Consider the following 23107-nt stretch of genomic DNA (forward strand, 5'->3'; position numbering starts at 1 on the left):
TGTCAAGGAGGGGACCAGGTGGAGGTCATGGGGGTGGTTTCCGCCATGCTTTGTTGTGATAGTGAGTTAGTGTCATTCAAGATCTGTTGGTTTTATAAGTGTCTGGCATTTCCCCTGCTCGCTCTCACTCCATCCTGTCACCCTGTGAAGAAGAAGGTGCCTGCCTCTCCTTTACCATTCCACATGATTGTAAGTGATATGGTTTGGCTGTGTCCTCACCCAAATCTCATCTTGAATTCCCGCGTGTTGTGGGAGGGACGCGGTGAGAGGTAATTTAATCATGGAGGCAGGTCTTTCCTGTGCTCTCATGATTGTGAATAAGTCTCATGAAATCTGATGGTTTTAAAAAGAGGAGTTCCCCTGCACAAGCTCTTTTTCCCTGACGCCATCCACATAAGATGTGATTTGTTCCTCCTTGCCTTCCACCATGATGGTGAGGCCTCCCCAGCGATGTGGAACTGAAAGTCCAATAAACTTCTGTCTTTTGTAAATTGCCCAGTCTTGGGTATGTCAGCGTGAAAACGGACTAATACAGTAGGTTTCCTGAGGCCTCTCCAGCAATGCAGAACTGAGAGTCAATTAAATCTCTTTTCTTTATAAATTACCCAGTCTCAGGTATTTCTTCATAGCTGTGTAAGAATGGACTAATACAGACACCTCCGTTGTTTCCAAGTTTTGACAATTATGAATAAGGGTGCTATAAACATACATACAGGTTTTTATGTGGACATAAATTTTCAACTCCTTTGGGCAATCACCAAAGGGTGCAATAGCTGAATCATATAGTAAGAGTATGTTTAGTTTGGTAAGAAACTGTCATTCTTCCAAAGTAGCTGCATCATTTTGCATTTCCATAAGGAATAAATGAGAATTCCTGTTGCATTTTGTTGTTGAAACAACACTAGCATTTGATACTGTCAGTATTTTGGATTTTAGCCATTGTAATAGGTGTGTAGTGATACCTCATTGTTTTAATTCACAATTATCTGTCATATGATGGTGAGCATCTTTTCATATGTTTATTTGCCATCTCTACAACTTTTTTGGTAAGATATCTGTTCAGATACATTGCCTGTGTTTTAGGCTGGGATATCTATTTTCTTATTGCTGAGTTTTAAAAGTTCTTTGTATATTTTTGTTACCAGTACTTTATAAGGCATGTTTTGCAAATATTTTCTTTAATCTGTGGACTCTCTTTTCATTATCTTGGTGAAATATCATTCTTTTGCAGAACATACATTTTTAATTTTAACAAAGTACAAATTACTAATTATTCCTTTCATGAATGACAACTTTGTGGTAATTAAAGAGTTACTGACAAAATCAGGGTCATTGACTTTCTCCTATATTATCTTTTAGTTTTATAATTTCACATTTTACATATAAGTCTGTTTCATTGTGAGTTAATGTCTGAGAAGGGTTTAAAAACTGTGTTAAAATTGTTTTTTTGAATTGGATGTCTAGATGTTCCAGCAATATTTGTTGAAAAGACAATATTTTCTCCATTTTATTGCCTTTACTTTTTTTTTTTTTGTCAAAGGTCAGTTGACTACTTTTATGTGGGTCTACTTCTGGTCTCTCTATGCTGTTCCATTAATCTATTCATCTGTTGTTTTGCCAACACCACCACTGTTGATTACTATAGCTTTATAGTAGGTTTTGAAGTTGGATGGTATCATTTCTTCAACTTTGTTTTCTCCGTCAATATTGTTTTGGCTATTCTCGGTTTTGCTTTTCAATATAAACTTTAGAATGAATTTGTTGATATTGACAAAATATCTTTTGGATTTTGTTTGAGATTGTATTAAATCTATAGACTAATTTATGAAAACTGACACCTATTAGTTTTCAGGAATAAAATTGAGTTTTCCTATCAATGAACATGAAAGAGCTCCCCATTTTTTTAGACATTCCTTGATTTCTTTGATTAGACGTTTGTAGTTTTCCTGATGTAGATCTCTTAAATATTTTGTTAGATTTCTAGCTAAGTATTTTATGTTGGAGTGAGGATGCTAATGTAAATAATATTGTATTTTTAATATCAAATTTCAAATGTTCATTGCTGGTATATATGAAGGTAAATGACATACTTATATGTTAATCTTGCCTGCATACTTCCTATAATCCTTTATTAGTTCCAGTAGCCTTTTTGTTGATTTGGGAGGATTTTCTACATAGACATTCATGTCATGTCAAACAAAGGCAATATTATTCCTACTAGTTCTGTATAATTTTATTTCCTTTCATTTCTTAGTGCATTAGTTAGGGCTTCCAATATTATGTTGAATAGAAATGGTGAAAGGGGTTATGCTTGGCCTGTTCTTGATTTTGGTTGAAAGCATTTAGTTTCTCACCATTTCATATAATGTTAACTATAGTTTATTTGTAATGTTCTTAATCAAGTCAAGAAAGTTTCCCTCTATTGCTAGTTTTCTGAGAGTTTTTATTAAGAATGGGTGTTGGGTTTTATTGAATGCTTTTTCTCCATTTTTTTTGATATAACCATATATCTTTTTTTTTTTAAGTCTGTTGGTGTGACGGAATACAATAATTAGTTTTCAAATGTTGAACCAGCCTTGCATGCCTGGCATATATCCTTTTTGGGCGTGATATATAATTCTTTTGATGCATTTTTATATTTAATTTGTTAATATTTTATTGAGGATTTTCTTGCACCTGTGTTCATGAGAAATATCGGTCTTTTTGTAACATTTTTGTCTGATTTTGGTATTGGGTTATGCTGACCTCAAAGAGTGAATTAGGAGTATTCCCCCTGCTTCCATCTTCTAGAAATTATTCTAAAGAATTGGTACAAACTTTCTTCTTTTTTTTTTAATGGATTTTGCTCTTGTTATTTCTACCTTCTGGGTTCAAGTGATTCTGCTGCCTCAGCCTCTGGAGTAGCTGGGATTACAGGTGCCCACCACCACTCCCAGCTAATTTTTGTATTTTTAATAGAAACAGGGTTTTGCCATGTTGGCCAGGCTGGTCTCAAACTCCTGACCTCAGGTGGTCCGCCTGCCTCGTCCTCCCAAAGTGCTGGGATTAGAGGTGTGAACCACCACGCTAGGCCCTTCTTCATTAAATTTTTGATAGAATTTACCAACAATCCCATCTGGGCTCTTTTTCATTTATTTCTCACCTGTCTTCTAGTAGTGTCACATACCCATAGTACAGTTCTCAAAGCCAGGAGATTAACACTGATGCAATACCATTAACTAAATGGTAAACTTTATTTGCCCTTCAATGCACTTCTCTCCTCTAGAATCCTATCCACAATCCAATATTTAACTTGTGTATTTTTCTTTATAGTCACCTGTAGTTTACAACAGCTCCTCGGGCTTTCCTTATCTTTCAGTATCTCGATAGTTTGAAGAATGCTAATAAGTTTTTTTTTTTTCAAATTTCTCAATTTGGATTTGTCTTATGTTTTCACATGATTAAACTGTGGTAATGCTTTTTCTGAACAGAATACCACAGGTATAATGCTGTGTCAATCTTAGTGCATTATATCATAATGTTCATGATGATGATATATTACTAATAGTGTTGTTATTATTGACACTTAGTTAAGGTGTCTTCTGTGAGCTTCCTCTATTGTAACACTACTATCACTTTTTAGTTAATAGATATTTTGGAGGACATACTTTGAGATGATGAAATCTAATTTCTCCTCAAATTTTCACCAGCTACCATTTGCATCCATCAATGGATCTTGTCTTCAAAAATCGTTGCTGTGGTATTTGCTTAATGATGATTTCTATTTCCCTCTTTCTTTCCTCATTTATTATTTGAGACTGTATTGTAAAGAAAAGCTATTTCATCTCTCTTAGTTGACTACTTATTTATGTCAGTATCGACTTATGAATATTTCTCTTATTCTATGGGCTAAAATCCAGCATTTTAATTATGTACTTTGATGCTCAAATATTCCAGCTTTGATCATTAAGAGCACCTTCAGTTTGGCCCCTGTGTTGTTTGACAAGCCCTCATCTTTCTTTGAGCACTTTTTTACTTTCTGGAACCAGGATATTCATATTTTCTCTGCTCCACTCCTGCAATTAATCACCTCTCCAAAAAGCCCACAGTTAATTTATTGGCAAATGATTTTTAGAAACCAAAATTCAGGTGGTAGGTATGTTTTTAAAGCTATTTTGAATTTTAAAATTGGTATCATATTTTTAAGAGAAGGAATCATCCTCAGCGAAAGAGGATAAATCCCTCTGAGGGGTATACCAGAACTAAAACACAGGAAGATTCGGATTATACTTACACATTAAGATGTGTGTTCATTGAGTGCGATTATCTGCATTACTTTATTTATTTATTTATTTATTGTTGTTTTTATTTTTTTATTTCAATAGTTTTAGAGTACAAGTGGTTTTTGGTTACCTGGATGAATTCTATAGCGATAAAGTCTGCAATTTTAGTGCACCTGTCATTCGTGTGGGATGTACATTGTACCAAATATGTAGCTTTTTATCCCTCTTCTCCCTTCCTCCCTTCCCCCTTTTGAGTCTCCAATGTCCATTATACCACTCTGTCTGCCTTTGTGTACCCATGGCTTAGCTCCCACTTGTAAGTGGGAGCATACAGTATTTGGTTTTCCATTTCTGAGTTACTTCACTTGGCATAATAGCCTCTAGTTTCATCCAAGATTCTGTGAAAGACATTATTTTGTTATTTCTATTTTGGTATTATCGTAAATGAGAACATTTTTAGTTTCTGGATTAGCATATGTGGATGAACTTTGTCTAAAGTAAAGCTTGCATGATACAAGTACACTATTGTAAAGAATCACAGATCAGAGAAAGCTTTTCTCATCCTGGGAGAATCAGGACAGGTGATTCTTGTTTATTGACATTTTTGCAATTGAGAAAAACCAAGTGAGACAAATAAATGAACAAATACACTGAGCAAATAAAAAGAGAGTGGCTTTTATTTAAAAGTCCATGTATCCATGGGTAGTATGGGCCTCAGGGACAAATGGAACTAGGAGTATGAATACTCCCAGAACTTTTTCTGTATCTAACATCATGGCTTTCTGTGTTGTTGAATGCAGTTCTCAAATTCCTTCATTTTGGGAACGCAGCTTCTGGTAGGCCCCATACCTTACATAGCATAGCTTAATCATCAAATAGGGCCTGAATATCTTTATTCAGTGAAGTCGACAAAATTATGAAGATGGACTGCTTGACATGGTTGGACTACATGTCTACCCTTTGACAAATCCACAGTGATCAGGCAATGTTATTCTATAATTAGCATCCCTCACTAGAGTTGGTTAAAGTTCCACAAAAGACAGAAGTTGGTCTTAGAGAGGGAAAACTCCGTGTAAAAACTAAAGATAGTCTAACCTTAGGTAGTAATATGCCCTCTCTCACCACTCCTATTCAACATAGTGTTGGAAGTTCTGGCCATGGCAATCAGGCAGGAGAAAGAAATAAAGGGTATTCAATTAGGAAAAGAGGAAGTCAAATTGTCCCTGTTTGCAGGTGACATGATTGTATATCTAGAAAACCCCATTGTCTCAGCCCAAAATCTCCTTAAGCTGATAAGCAACTTCAGCAAAGTCTCAGGATACAAAATCAATGTGCAAAAATCACAAGCATTCTTATACACCAATAACAGACAGAGAGCCAAATCATGAGTGAACTCCCATTCACAATTGCTTGAAAGAGAATAAAATACCTAGGAATCCAACTTACAAGGGATGTGAAGGACCTCTTCAAGGAGAACTACAAACCACTGCTCAATGAAATAAAAGAGGATACAAACAAATGGAGGAACATTCCATGCTCATGGGTAGGAAGAATCAGTATCGTGAAAACGGCCATATTGCCCAAGGTAATTTATAGATTCAATGCCATCCCCATCAAGCTACCAATGACTTTCTTCACAGAATTGGAAAAAAACTACTTTAGAGTTCATATGGAAACAAAAAAAGAGCCCACATTGCCAAGTCAATCCTAAGCCAAAAGAACAAAGTGGAGGCATCATGCTACCTGACTTCAAACTATACTACAAGGCTACAGTAACCAAAACAGCATGGTACTGGTACCAAAACAGAGATATAAACCAATGGAACAGAATAGAGCCCTCAGAAATAATGCCGCATATCTACAACTATCTGTTCTTTGACAAACCTGACAAAAACAAGCAATGGGGAAAGGATTCCCTGTTTCATAAATGGTGCTGGGAAAACCGGCTAGCCATATGTAGAAAGCTGAAACTGGATCCCTTCCTTATACCTTATACTAAAATTAATTCAAGATGGATTAAAGATTTAAATGTTAGACCTAAAACCATAAAAACCCTAGAAGAAAACCTAGGCAATACCATTCAGGACATAGGCATGGGCAAGGACTTCATGTCTAAAACACCAAAAGCAATGGCAACAAAAGCCAAAATTGACAAATGGGATCTAATTAACTAAAGAGCTTCTGCACAGCAAAAGAAACTACCATCAACGTAAACAGGCAACCTACAGAATGGGAGAAAATTTTTGCAATCTACTCATCTGACAAAGGGCTAATATCCAGAATCTACAATGAACTCAAACAAATTTACAAGAAAAAAACAAACAACCCTATCACCAAGTGGGTGAAGGATATGAAGAGGCACTTCTCAAAAGAAGACATTTATGCAGCCAAAAGACACATGAAAAAATGCTGATCATCACTGGCCATCAGAGAAATGCAAATCAAAACCACAATGAGATACCATCTCACACCTGTTAGAATGGCGATCATCAAAAAGTCAGGAAACAACAGGTGCTAGAGAGGATGTGGAGAAATAGGAACACTTTTACACTGTTGGTGGGACTGTAAACTAGTTCAACCATTGTGGAAGACGATGTGGCGATTCCTTAGGGATCTAGAACTAGAAATACCATTTGACCCAGCCATCCCATTACTGGGTATATACCCAAAGGATTATAAAACATGCTTCTATAAAGACACATGCATGCGTATGTTTATTGCGGCATTATTCACAGTAGCAAGACTTGGAACCAACCCAAATGTCCAACAATGATAGACTGGATTAAGAAAATGTGGCACATATACACCATGGAATACTATGCAGCCATAAAAAATGATGAGTTCATGTCCTTTGTAGGGACATGGATGAAGCTGGAAACCATCATTCTCAGCAAACTATCGCAAGGACAAAAAACCAAACACCGCATGTTCTCACTCATAGGTGGGAATTGAACAATGAGAACACATGGACACAGGAAGGGGAACATCACACACCGGGGCCTGTTGTGCGGTGGGGGGAGTGGGGAGGGATAGCATTAAGAGATATACCTAATATTAAATGACGAGTTAATGGGTGCATCACACCAACATGGCACATGTATATATATGTAACAAACCTGCACATTGTGCACATGTACCCTAAAACTTAAAGTCTAATAAAAAAAAGAGAAGAATCCATTATTTTATGCTTAGAAAAGTGTGTGTGTGTGTGTCTGTGTGTGTGTGTGTGTGGTGTTAGGAAATATTCTGTGCAAATAAAGTTGGAACCTGAAAGTCAAGTGGACACAAGAGAGCATCAACATGAGAGAAAACTGTAGGGGAACATAAATGGTGAACATTACGTTAGGTCATGTGTGTATACCATGAATACGAAGTATTTCACAGGTAATGGGATCATAAAGGGTCTTATATTAAGCTCTCAGAACTTTACCTGCAAACTTTATCCTGGAGTTGTCAAGAGGCAGTTATATATTTATGTTTTGTTTAACTAGGACGGAGACATTATTTTGCATTTTGCAAATCAATCACTTTGGTGGTGGTTATTGGATGGGTTAGAGGCACAAAGTCCGGCTTAGGTGAGGAATGATGTGAGAGTTTCATCTAGGGTAACGAACAAGGAAAAATAAAGTAAAATCAACAAATCTTTCTAACTGATATGATTTGAGATAAAATGCTGAGTCAAATAGGACATCTGATTTTGATTTGGCCAAATGCATAAGTGATTACATTATTCACAAATAGTGGGACCATCCATTGGTTTACCTAGGACGGTCCAAATTCATATGCACTGCCCCAGTATATATGTTTATGTGCATTGACCTTTTTCACTCTTATGTGTGTCTTGTTCTGGTCATTAAATTATTTATAGAGACCAAAAGCACAGAAGGTGAACTGGATTTTAGAGAGAAAATACTAAATTATTTTAGGATATATTGAGTTTAAAGTATTTATGCAACAATCAATTACAAATAACTATACTAATCTGATTAAATATTTCAAAATTCTGTAACTCATTTACCTATGTTGACTAGATTAGTTGATTAGCATTCTGAATGAGGAATTTGGTCTTGAAGTGAAATTGTTTGATTTGCTTTATTCCTTCACTACTGACCGCATCCTTAACCCTAACCAACTCTCTTGTAAATATACACACTCACAAGGGGTCTTGGGTTAAAATACATGATCAGCACCATTCTATTACAATTCTTGGAGTGAAATCTAACAAACTAAAGTCCTAATAGTGGTGGTCAATGGTTGCTTTTGTATGTGAACATAAATTTTATATACAGTGAGCATTTTTTCTAAACCAAAACTTTAGATATTTGGTTCAATAAAAAATGTTCTGTGATGTTTCTCTCTACAAAAGGCAGAAAATGAATTAGATTATAGCTATTAAAATACTCCAGTTTATGGAATTTTAATGATTTTTATAAATCAACAGTCAAAATATTTGAAAAATATATTTTTCTAAAAAGTGCCAGAAGTATAGTCACCATAAGATTTGAGGATAATTTAATAAGTATTCTTTTCTAATTATATTAATTAATACCTGTGATGTAAATGATACTCAAACTCTCACTTCAATTTTCCTTTTTCACATTTCACACTGAATATCTTCCACAAAATATAAAATGTAGCACATTAATTTTTTAAAAAGATATCTTTTTTCATGAATTGAAATAAAAATATTTTCTTTAGTCAAATTTCCTCTTATTTTATGTATATATATTCCTTAGGGGCACAATAACACATTAAATCAGAATATCGTGAAAAAATATTATTCCTTTTTCAAATCCATTGTTCAACTTTGGGATATACGTATTAGCAGCAACTATTTACTTCTCAATTTTATAAATGTTTCTGCTATTTTCCAACACAATAGTTGCCCAAAAGTAGAACTTTGATACAGTTTGATAAACCATGAAATAATTTTAAAAACACAAATACTTAAACGTCATTTCTAATTTTTGTAATGTCCCAAATCACTCTCTTTAAAATCTGGGTGATTATTCCAATAAAAAAATAGACACTCTGAAAAATGATATTTAGTGTTCATTGACACCTCTAAATTATTGTTAATCAAATAGTGAACAGACATGGGATAAAGTGAGTTTTAGTGGTGTATTACGAAAATAATAGCTTAAGCATTTTTAGTTTTATAAAGAATAATAGTGAGGTTTTACATTATCATTGATGGTGGAGAGCTTACATATGGGAGTGTAAGGTTAAAACATTTTCCAGTTCAAGAATCCATGAAGAGAGAATATAATAATTTATTTTCTTAAAGGAATGAATTTACAAACTGATTCCATTGAGGATCTAATAACAAAGCTGGTAGGTAGATGGTAGATTGTTATATACAGCTAAACACATGTATTTAAAAAAAAAATCAGTGAGGGAGAATGAGAGAGAAGGTGTAAGAAGGCAGAGTGAGTTGATCCAAAGAAAGAGGTGTAGTGAACATTATGAGAAAAGCCATGACAATAAGGACAGGAAGAACTCAAAGACCCAGTGGGACAGATTTGGGTCTGGAGAAGAGTGGGAAAAACACAGAAATTGTTGCTAAAGTGAGATTCCACAAAGTAAAGTAGGGGAAGAACCTGAGAATGAGTGGTCACATTTTTAATGTGGGCATTATTCTAGCTAGGATGATGAAATAAAATACCTGAAGCCAAATAGAGTCCTCCAAAGGTTTATATGGTTTGAAACTACACTTTCTTTAGCAACTGTTAGTTTAGTCTCTGTTTAGATGACTATTACAAGAAAGACACATGCGTAGCACATGCGGAGCTGTTCTACTCCCTATTCTATGGCAAACATAAATAATACATTAGGACCCTTTTCCACCTAAAGCCTGAACATGGTCTCACAACTCTCCTCGTTACAGTGCTTCAGAAAGCACTTGCCAACTAAAGTTGGCACATGACCAAAAATCTAGTTTCCTTGTCTATGTTTAATCTGTAACGTTGTACTAATCAGAGTGACATAAAATCATCAAATAATATGAGTAGAAAAGACATCAAATGACATTGGGTTCAATTCTCAATCACAGTAGGTGAATCTTTGCATTATAATCTTCCTAAATTTTGACCTACAACGTGATTGAAAATAGAACCACTGGGAGAGCTTTTTAAAAGCAAGGCAAATTGTTAGGTTTAACATTTGGACATTTTGTTGCTCAACCCACTTCCTAAGATGAGGATTATGGGCTGAATTGTCCTCCCCCACAAAAAAAAAAGTCGTATATTAAAACCCTAACCCACATTACCTTAGAGTGTGACTGTATTTAGAGATAGGGCTTTAAAGAGGTAAGGATGTTAAAACAGGCTCATTAGGGTCAACCTTAATTCAATATGACTGGTGTTCTAATAAGAAGAGATAAGGACAGAGGCAAGGAATAACACAAACCACGAACAGGAAAACCTGCATCTTCTGGTTTGTTTTAAAATACGAAGGATAACCTGACACCCAGTGCAACGCAGAGACATATTTTAGACACACATAAACACAATTTTTAGATTCTACCTATCTTATAACAGCAATCCATGTCACTCGGATAGTAACATTTTGGCTTTTGAGTCATCTATTATGCTTGCTTTCTTGCTAAAGACGTGCTCAGCTTTCAAAACTCAGATCAGCTATTACCTTGTTTTAAAGCATTTTCCAACTCTCCTTGTAATGACTACATATTTCTGTGTAAAGCTCTGTATGTATTGTTTCACATTTGATATCCTTTTGTCTTTATTTGTTTGCATGACTGCATTTTTTTTTTTTACTAGACCATAAGCTTCTTGAGTACAAGAACTTACTCATCTTTATATCTTCAGTATTTACCACTGTTTTTGGCAAATAGTATTCAGTAAATATGAATTGAATTAAAGAATAAACCTATTTGAAATATGTTATCTAAATCTAATAGTTTTATGAATGTTTTTTGCAGGGTTCAGACAACTGAAGAAGGTGTGTGCTTGCAACCTAAAAATTTATTAATTTCACCTAAATGTTAATAGGTGAAGCTGAGCTATTAGAAGTCATACTATATAGTATAATACATATGGACCATATCTCATTATCTTTGTGCCTCAGTGCCTACCACAGAAGGAGTAGGCAATTCATACTTTTTAAATAAGTAGATAAATGATAAATAAAAGATGATTAATGTGTTCATTTATTGCCAACAAAATAAAACATCTGAAGCATTGACTTAGATAATATAAAGTATTACTTTTTTGAAAGTACTGAGAGTATTAAATATAAAATAATATGTATCTCATCGAGTTTTTAAAGTAAAGTCTCTGATGGGATGTAATAAAATAGTTTCCTTAAACTATTTTACACTTAGTACATGAAGTGAAAGAAAAATAATGCACCTATGCAGATACTAATTGTGTCTTCCTGGAGTAGCTAGAGTTTTGGGCCAAGATTGAGAGAAACAGCAGTGTCACAACTAAATGCATACAAAAGCAATTTATTGAAGATATATTTCATATTTCTGAGCACTGATGTTAATCTTTCACATTGGTCCTAAGTTTTAAAATATACAATTTAGAACAAAATATATAATTTAGAACAAAATATATGAATAAGTGAATTATAATATTTTTATAGTTATATAATATATTATCAGCTTAGGGGAACAGAAAATACATTATAAACCCAGTTTTATAAGTTACATTAATTTTTATTATTTAGTTTATTTTAGATTTTTTAGTCTAAAATAAATTCAGAGTTATAAAAAGTTGCAAAAATTTCATAGGATTCTTATATATCTGACATCCAGTTTCCCAAAATATTAATATCTCTCATAAAATGATTACTGCTACAATGCTATTAAATAATCTACAGGCTTTTTTGAAAATCATTAATTGTTGCAGGATCCAATCCAAGATCACATATTGCACTTAGTTTTCATGCCTGTCTAGCCTCCTTTAAACTGGGACAGTTATTTAAATTGAAGGCATTTCTATCTGTGATGAAAGAGTGAAAAAAAAAATTGTCCCTGAAAAGGCATGTGATATTATCATAATTTTTAGAGCATTAATTCTCTTCATGTATTAGGATCTGAAAACTTGTGAAATTGTAGTTAATTGCTTTCCCCCCCTAAAAATAACTTTTTCAGATAGATTATATCCAAAGTAACTAAATCATTTCAAGGACATGAGTTTGGCCACTAGATGACAATATAACCCTTTTCTATTTGGCAGGAATTTTTTTTTTTTTTTTTTTTTTTAGTTTTGTTCAGATTTCCAGTTTAAGAATCACTACCAGTGGTGTCTTAACCAAAGGTTTTACAATATTCTGATACTATTTGGAGATATATGAAAATCTTAGCAATGACATCTTATGCTAGAAGATTGAACATTGTACAAATCACATTGTCTTATAATTATCTGTTTACCTGTCTCTTCCACTATACTGTGAGGTACTTAGAGTACCTAGTATCCTGATTTATTCCTGTGTTCATAGTAAGAGCATACCATGCTACAACCAATATATGTTTTCAGTATGTATGTGTGTGTATATATAAACATATATATACACATATATATAAACATATATATACACATATATATACACATATATATATACACATATGTTATATATATACTCTTTAATCCTGTTTTTTGGGAGAACTAAGAATTATTTTTAAATTTGCTTTTTAAAGACTGATTTGGGGTCAGTTTCACCGGAAAACAACAGTTAGTAATTATGCAGTATTAATTAGCATTACAAAACTTTTTTGTTTGACTCACCGTATCCTTCTTAGTTATCTTTCAGTCAAAAGTGACAATATAATCCAGGTTTAGACCAATTAATTGGAACTAGAAGTATGCTGTGGACTTCCTGCAGACTTTTGCTGTTTTCCTATAGATGCTGTCTTTTTTCCTTTCCTTTATCTTCCACTGAAACAAATACATTATTACTCATTTATAATGGGTTGTGCAATAGGCGTCGTAGGATCATGAGAGGCTCTCTCAAGGGACAGCAGAAGACAATAGCAAAGTTGTAGGTCCACATTCAATGAGCTGCCGAAGAAACAACAGCAGTTGCCTACATCTAGAATATATGTATATGAGAAAAATTAGCCCTATATATTTGTGCCACTGTATCTTCACTCTATGTTACTTAAAGCTTGATTCATTTCTAATGATGGATACAAATTTCATGTGTAATTTGGAAGGAGGGGCTGTTACTCTTTTAACCAGACTTCAAATTCTACAAGGGCAGGCATCATGTTTATCTTTGCTTTGTATTAACTTTCTTAACTTTCTAGTGACTAATGCAGGGCCTCATACAAATTAGAAGGCTAATAAATATTTGCTAAATAAATGTATAAATGATTGAGCTATGAAGTCTGTAGGCATAGCTTATTTTAAATCGAAATATTCTTTTTGAAATGGTCATCCTTACTCAGAAAAAACAAACAAAAAGGTAATGAATTTTTCAGAAATCAAAAGAAATTTCAAAAATTAATCAGAAATGATACCTGCTTTTTAATTATTTCTGCACATGAACTTTACTTTAGGCTTGCCGAGTTTCTACAACCTATTTCTTGATTAATTGTTTGCCCTTTATTCTGACTGAATGATCTTCAGCAAATATAGTGAATATCCCTCATCATCTCTAAGCTAATAATAACATATATCTGACTTTATGGCTTAATATAATGCTATTATAAAAGTCCAAATCATCTAAGGTTATTAAATATTCAGCTGCTTAAAAATTGGTAAGATTTTGTTATATTCATTACAGAAATGCTTGGCACCTGAGGAATTATTAGGTTAGGCTGGTATGGGAAGATTTGAGATAGATCTTGCCCTGTTTTGTATTAGGGTCATGGAAGCAGCAGAAAATAAAACTAGAAGGAACATTTATCATTAATTAATTTGTTCTCTTATTCTTTTAATATGCATTTTATTTTATGAAATGCATACTGTTTTATTGTCCATAAGTTAATTGAGAAATCGGTGTCATTAAAAACTTTGTGCCATGTCTGGTGGCTCATGCCTGTAATCTCAGCACTTTGGGAGGCAGAGGTAGGAGGATCCCTTGAGGCTAGGAGTTTGAGACCAGCCCGGGCAACATAGCTAGACCTCACCTCTACAAAAAGTAAAAAATTAGATGGGCATGGTGTCATATGCCTGTAATCCCAGGTACTCAGGAGTCTAAGGCAAGAGGATTGCCTGAACCCAGGAGTTTGAGGCTGCAGCGAGCTATGATCACACCACTGCACTCCAGTCTGAGTGACACAGCGAGTCCCTGTGTCATATTAAAAAAAAAAATTAAAGTAAAGAAAAAACTTTGAAGTTAAGCAAGGGAGGCAGATGAATAAGCCATGGTAATTTTGGGAGATGGCAATACAAAGTTCACATTGAGCTAAGAATTTTTTTATTTATTTATTTTTTCTGGGCAGCAGCAACTAAGAGCCTAAGGAAGACCTGACGGTGGAACTGTAGAACAACTTCAATGTTGTTCTGGTTGTTAGTTAATGCTAGTAAAGCCAAACTATGAGACGATATGGGGAGGCTAGAAGTTGAGCCTAACAGGTGAACCAAGAAGCAAGAAGTTGTGTAAAAATACAGAAAGTATAGGCCAATTGGAGGTTAGGAAGCAATTTACATGAATTGTTGGTAGACAGAAATAGCTCACATTGGAACTGCTGGATGGGGCTTTTTATCCTACTACCTCTGATCTTTAAGGAATATTGAGAACCATCTAGTTGCATTTAGAGTGAATGTAACAGCTTTTGTTTCTCCTCTTAGATAAAAGAATCTCATAAAAATAAATCATAATGAACATCATTCCTAGAATCTGTGGTCCTCTGTCACTTAAATACAATGATTTATTTTTCTAAATTACTAAACTTTTTTTCTAAGAAATTTTAGTTTACAAATAAAGGAAGCAGAAATTACACAGTTCCTATATATCCCTTCATTTCCCAAGTCCACAGTTTCTCCTATTATTAACATTTTGCATTAGTGTGGTACATTTATTATAATATATGAACCAATATCAATACATTATTATTAACTGACATCTTTTTTACACTGAGGCTCACTCTTTGTGTTGTACATTCTATAGGTTTTGACATATGTAATGACAGATACCCACCATTATCATATCAGACATAATAGTTTCTCTACCCTGAAAATCCCCCAGGCTCTGCCTCTTCATCTCTTGTTCCCTCTCTAAGCCCCTGGCAATCATGAATCTTTTTTGTCTCTACATAGTTTTGCCTTTTCCAGAATGTCATATAGTTGGAATCATACAGTATTAGCTTTCTCAGATTGTCTTCTTTCACTTAGCAGTGTTCATTTAAGTTACCTCCATGTCTTTTCATAGCTTGATAGCTCATTTCTCTTTAGGACTGAGTAACATTACATTGAATGAATGTATTGAAGTTTGCTCATCCATTTACTCATTGAAAGGATATCTTGGTTGCCTTCAAATTTTGACAATGATAAATGAAGTTGCTATAAATATTTGGGCACAGGTTTTGTGTGTGGACATACATATTCAACTCATTTCAGTAAACATCAAGGAATGTGATCACTGGATCATATGGTAAGAGTATGCCTAGCTTTTGTAAGAAACTGCCAAACTGTCTTCCAAAGTGATTGTACCATTTCGAAGTACCACCAGCAATAAATAAGGGTTCCTGTTGTTCCAAATCCTTGTCAGCATTGATGTTGTCAGTGTTTTGGATTTTAGCCATTATAACAGGTGTATAATGATACATCATTGTTTTAATTTATATTTCCCTGCTGTAATACGATGTTGAATATCTCTTCATATGCTTATTTTCCATCTGTGCATTTTCTTGGGTAAGATGTCTTTTCAGATACTCTACCCATTTTTTAACTGGGTTGTTTTTCTTTATGGTTGAGTTTTAAAAGTTTTTAGTATATTTTGAATACCAGCACTTTATCAGATATGTGTTTTGCAAATATTTTCTCCCGGTCTGTGGCTTGTCTTTTTAGTCCTTTCACAAATATTTATTTTTCAAGATAATGAAGTTGAAGATATACAATACAACAATGTTAAGCTGTATTCATAATTAGTAGAGATTTTCCATAGCAGCAAAATATTATGTGATCATGATTATTTTAGATGACTAAGAAAATTTAATAAATGATATAATATTAAATAAATCTCAAATATTCCTGGGAAAATTATCATCTATTATTTGAAATTTCTGAAAAATATGTGTTTAGTGGCAGTGTTGGCTATCTGTGCTGTTAATTAATGGAGTTGAAAGAAATGAAATGCTTTCAGGTTTTATTAGATATAATGTGTCTATAAATAGCAAATGTTTTACAGCAATGACCTCTTCCATGTTGTTAAATATATACAAAGGATACAGAGGCTTCCAAGTTTTTCACAGTAAGCATTATGCATAAGCTTAGGTATCATAAACTACGTATTGATAAGCAGCCTGTATTTATCAAAAATATGGTACTTGATAATGTAAAAAAAGAAGTAATTCAACTTAATTTGTACTAACTAGTCAAATTATGTTAATTTTGATCAAGTAAGTGAGAATACTACTATATTGGGATTCCCAATTGCAAGCAAACTAATTCAGGCTGATTTAAGTAAAACAAACAAACTTATTTTGATGTATTTATGGCTCGTGTGACAGAGGCGAATAACTTTTGAAAAGATGTACTTTTCTTATATCAAATAAGATTGTTGCTGAGGAATTGTTGCAACCTATGGACTGTAAGTATATTTCCCTTCACCTGTGAGTTCATGTGTGTTTGGTATCTGGGTCTCACCAAGGAGAATGCACAGGAGACAGGATTTTTTTTTTTTTTTTAAGTAGAGTAACTTTTCCATGCCGTCTTTTCTTTTGCTCTAACCACAAATGTTGAAGAAGTCCTAGAGGTTTAGAATGAAAACAGCCTGAGTCATCCACTACCAAAACACCCTCTAAGGTTGTTAAATTGATAAGAAAGGAACTTCCATGCTTTAGGCTACTGAAATTGTGTTGATTTATTACAACAACTGCCATAGTTACCTTAACTGGTAAATTCACAGATTTGTTGGAATCCTGACCAAACTGGAAAAGTGGCAGTAACCATGGAAAAGTCAAAGACAAAATGACAGCCAAATCACACCAGTAAATAAGTGGAGTGAAGACACGTCTGTTTTCACAGCTGAACACTGGAAATTGCAAATTTGATTGCCACTGGCATTGGATGCTGGAACTGCTTCTGTTTTTACTGACACTAGCATACCGGGATACTTCGAAGTTGCTGTAGTCTCTGCAATATTGAGTGTTGGAAGGTGCTAGAAAATGAGTGTCTGTCTTTTTTGTCTTTTATACTGGAAGGCAATCACCTAGACCTATGCTGGAGAGTCATCCTACAAGGTCATTCAAATGTACAATAAACTGGTATGTGTATTAGTTACTTATTACAGTACAATAAGTTAATCACAAATATGAATGACTAAAACAAAAAATGTTTAGTATCTTGCAGTTTCTCTGGTCAGGAATGTATTGGCAGCTTAACTGAGTGGTTCTAGCTCAAGGTCTTTCATGAAGGACCTGGTAGGGGCTGCAGGCATCTGCTGTCTTGACAGGAGCTGGGGAATTTGCTTACACGGTGACCCACTCACATGGCCATTGGAAGGAGGCACCAATTTCCTGCCACATGGGCCTCTTCGTAGGACTACATTTGTGTTATCATGATGTAGCAGCTGGCTTCTCCAGCGTGAGTAACGTAAGGGGGAGGAAGACAGGCAGAAGCCACGATTTTTGTTATAACTTAGCCTCATAAACTACATGTCATCACTTCTGTCATATTTATTGATCACATAAAGCAACAATGATATAAAGAAGAAGAGTAGAGTTTATTTCATCACTTACATTTCAATTTTGGCTACTTAATTTTAATCATAGAGTCTACAATAGGGGTTTATTTTATTAATCCAAGTAGTACCAAATATTACTCTGAGTTTGTTTAATTAATATCCCTATGAATTCCTGGGGTTTCAGTCCACTTTGGGAAGAGGCTAGTTTGTTTTCATATCTTAAAAGTGAGTAATATCAGCATTGTTGGTAATTCTATACCTTCATATTCCCAAAGTAGTATCAAGCAAATACATGGTAAGAGTGAGCATGAGAAGTTGATGCTGTTCAGTTATCTGGATAGCAGGCTAAGCATTATTGATAGAAAAATCTGCAGCTATACTCAGAAAACTCAGAACTTCATGGCAACTTTTTTTTAAATTAAAATACAGTTCTTAAGGTTTCAAAGTTTTATTTCTGTTTTTGTCAAATAAAACTGTTCTTTCAGAGACCAATAGTTAGAGGAAGAAACAAATTATATGGACCTCTGGTACAATTTCCCAATCTGTGAGCTACCAGACCTGAGTGTTTTGGTAAGAGGTCCACAAAATCAAATATAACATTCCATTGTCTGCAGACCAGTTAATGACTGCATAGTATTTTAATGTATGTCATATGTACAAATACAAAAATATCCTCCAAAATGGGAAGATTGGGAACACAAATTAGAGCCATCAAATAAAACTGTTCTTTCAGAGACCAATAGTTAGAGGAAGAAACAAATTATATGGACCTCTGGTACAATTTCCCAATCTGTGAGCTACCAGACCTGAGTGTTTTGGTAAGAGGTCCACAAAATCAAATATAACATTCCATTGTCTGCAGACCAGTTAATGACTGCATAGTATTTTAATGTATGTCATATGTACAAATACAAAAATATCCTCCAAAATGGGAAGATTGGGAACACAAATTAGAGCCATCAAATAAAACTGTTCTTTCAGAGACCAATAGTTAGAGGAAGAAACAAATTATATGGACCTCTGGTACAATTTCCCAATCTGTGAGCTACCAGACCTGAGTGTTTTGGTAAGAGGTCCACAAAATCAAATATAACATTCCATTGTCTGCAGACCAGTTAATGACTGCATAGTATTTTAATGTATGTCATATGTACAAATACAAAAATATCCTCCAAAATGGGAAGATTGGGAACACAAATTAGAGCCATCAAAAATGCACATTTTTCCAATTCCAGGTGACTGATTAATTTGTAAATGGATTCAACCATACTCTTTGGGTTTCAATTTTGTACAAGGCAATGCACACAAATACATATGTATCAACCAACAATTAGGATGTACATTTTATGTCTTAAATATCCTGTCATTGATATTTGAGTGGAGTTTTATTGGGATCCAATTGTATCTACTTTCTGCAGGGGACAAATTAGTTCATACCTTATCTTGACTTATAGAGGAATTACTTTTTCAACAGTTTGGAGAGGTGTACAATTTACCATACCTTCTGACCTGTATTATCTTACTTTTACGGTGAATAATAGCAACAAGATATTTTGATCAGAAAAATCCTGGTATTTACTACTGAGGTAGTGGTGAAATAAAATGACAAACATTCCTTATCTGATAAAAATATATGCAAACCAGCTTTTGTCTTAACCAGTAGAATAATAAGAAATAGATTAGTTCCCTTCTCCATTTTCTGTAGCCTTATATTTGTTTACCTATGCATGATGAAAAGCAGATTACTTTCTGATTACACTGAAGGGTTATTCATGTTATTTGGGGTATTATATTTTTAGGATTATGTATTATTGCATTTTATTGTAAAAACGTATGCTGTAGTCTTATGGAATAATAAAGTAATGACTATGTCATAAAGAAATAATGTAAACATTGACTTAATTTCTTGGCAATACTTTATAACAAGTATTTCTTATGGCTTACAGGAAAATTAGTAGTTTCTGCACTTAATTTATTGTTTAACTCATTATAATTTCAATTTATTTCCTAGCATCCCACTACCTAAATAGCTTTTAATAAAGTTGCTTATTATCTCGAGTCTCTTTTTTTCTCTGATTTTATTTTAGTTTTTACTGTTCAGAAAATCTGTCTGGCATTTTACACTTTACTACACAACTCATCCTTCTCAAGACTCTCTCATTACCTGGCTTTTGGGACACTGCGGCTTCAGGTTTGCCTACTTTTCTGAGCCATTTTCCATCCCTACTTTCATTTCTCCCTCCCTCCTTTCCTTCCTATCTGTCTTTCTTATTTATTTATTTATTTATTCATTCACTCATTCATTCATTCATTCATTCATTCATTCATTTTTGGCTACTCTTGCTTATCCTGATCCTTTTATGCTTTTATTCTAAAGCTTTTGCATTTGCTGTTTTTTTAAAACTTTATTTATTAGTGTTTCTTAATTTTAACTTCACATAGCAATCACCAGGTAAGTTTTTCTAACACAGCAACACCTGGCCCCAACCACAGAAATGTTGTTTATGGGGTGAATCCTGGGTATTTTATTTTTTTAAAAAAAGCTTCCTAGGTAGCTTTAAACTGTAGACAGATTTGAGAACCACTACTATTTACATTTTCGTAGAGTGATCTCATCCACTCATAAAACTTCAACTACCTACTTTACACAGAAGATTTATAAATATGTATCAGCAGCTCTAGCTTGTCTCCTAAGCCCTTGCCTGTTATACATACTTGCCAGTTTGGATTCTTTCTTTTCTTCTTTCAATCATTGAATGTTTTTTAAGTGCTACCATGTGCTAGACACTGTGCTAGACATGAGGATTCAGACATGAGCTACACATAGTTCCAGCTCTCAGGGACTTTGAGAAGCACAGTATATGGAATAAAGACAACAGACAACTAAATGTTACGGTGTCATAGTCTAGAAAGGGGTAAGAAGAGGAGGATATAGGACATGAATATAAACCAGATTAGGGCAGATGTTTATAATTTTCACGAATTTAATCCTGGATATGTATGAAAGGCAAAACATATCTTAAAAATAGAAATAAATTTCCAGGTATAAAAGATATGGCATGGAGAGAGAGAAGATAAATCTCAGGAATAGACACAAGGAAAACTAGGATGGAATTGGGGCAGCACCCATAGAGGCTTCTCCTTCAGAGCTTCTTCCTATTAATGATTTCCTAGTGAAATACTTTTATGCCTTTACTTCATAGAACAAATTTATCTGTTACTGAAAGAATTTTGGTCAAAATTTATATTTATGCCCTCAAATGCAAAACAATATATTGGAAATCTCATTACTTTCCAAAACAATTGGTAAAATGTCTGATTCATGTGTAGATGTTTGAAAACTCACGTTGACTATCAGCAATAGGGACATGCATCTCCATTGCTACTGGTGCTGTTAGAAGATTCACATTCCCATACCCTATTCATTCCTCTCTCTGGATACTTTGTCACCATCCTGAATTTTTTTTTTCTTTTCATTTTTAGCTTTTGTTCTTGCCTACAGTCATGTAATGAGGAACAAAAATTAAAACAAAAAAATAGAAAGAATGCTCACACAAAAGGTAATAAGAGGTTTGATGAAAGTGATTACATTTGAAGCACTACAAGTATATACAAAGAAAATGACTAGCAAGATTACAAGCAAAGATGCATTTTGCAATTTGTGCATATTGGAGCATTGACCAGCTGCCCTGCAGAGTTACTGAGCCTTCTTGTCTTAGAGTCCTTTGATGCACCAAAATAGTGGAAACTGTCAGTTCCTCTGAGTCTGGTAATTAGCTGAAATTTACTCTTCAACACCCATCTATTCAGCACCATAATGTTTCATAACCAGTGACATACTGTGCCTGCTTCAAACCTACTCTCTTCTCCGTCTTTAAGCTTTTAAAGCTTTTATTCCCCTTCTCACTTGAGAATAAAACTTTTTTCATGAAATCACCTTGCTTTTTTTTAATTAAACATTTTTTATTTTCTTTGTTCTAACAAAAATGTATTCATTTGTGGATTTTTTGCCTTGTTATATTGTAAATGCCAACATTTATGGCCTGGGATGCAAACACTACACATTATTGAATAAAAATCAATGGCTTATTAACAAACATATTGATTGTTTAGTAATGAGATGAAGATATGTTTACATATCATGCACTCTGACCCTATCAATTGTAATGAATCTAAGTTTTTTTCAAATGTTGTAGCTCCATTGTTCAGAAATTAGTGGAAGGCTTCAGCTTGATAAGTAACCCTTGGTAAGTTTGTTTACTGGGAAATGAGGTCCTAGTTGATGTTCTTATGCAGTGTCTAATCTTGGGGAATGGATTACTGATGTTACCTGGAAAAGGCAATGCCTTTGCTTCATCACACCCAGAAGACAGATTCCAAGGCAGTGAGTGACCTGTTGAGATAAGATGGAAGCAGGCTCTAGATCATGGTGAATCATAGCTACTAGGATAAATAATTTGTATAAAGACATCTCTGGAAAGTCTTTGAGTGATCTCAGTGATGTGAATTTATTTGAACTTAGAAAGGTCATTCTGCTGTCAGTATTGAAAAAGGATCAAAGGAGCAATACTGAAGGCAATGAGACTAGCTAAAAGGCTGTAGAAGTAATCCAAGCAGAACATTCTGAGCATTTCACAGAAGCAAAGAAAGGGGAGTAGAGAAGCTGATGGATTTTAGAAATATAAGGAAATCAACTCAAGTGTCCAATAGGATAGCAAAGGGCATGGTAAGCATAAAATATTAATGTGCAAATGGATAACTTTTGAAGTGAAAAGGGCCACTATTTTCATTGCACTGCGTAAGCACACATGAAGTGGGCGTCCTGAGGAAAACTGGGAACTATGGCAACCACAGTGATGTGTCATGGAGAATAATAATAAAAAAAAAATTCACAAGGGCATATATCTATCAGGCACTGTGAAAGTCTTTTCCATAGGTCATTTCACATAATCCAGATACCACCCCATACAGTTAAGTTCAATTCTTACTTGGCCTTTCTGATTTTCAAGTCATTCACCTCACTATTG

The sequence above is a fragment of the Homo sapiens genome, chromosome 1 (assembly GCF_000001405.40).
Source record: "Homo sapiens chromosome 1, GRCh38.p14 Primary Assembly".
Taxonomy (NCBI): domain Eukaryota; kingdom Metazoa; phylum Chordata; class Mammalia; order Primates; family Hominidae; genus Homo; species Homo sapiens.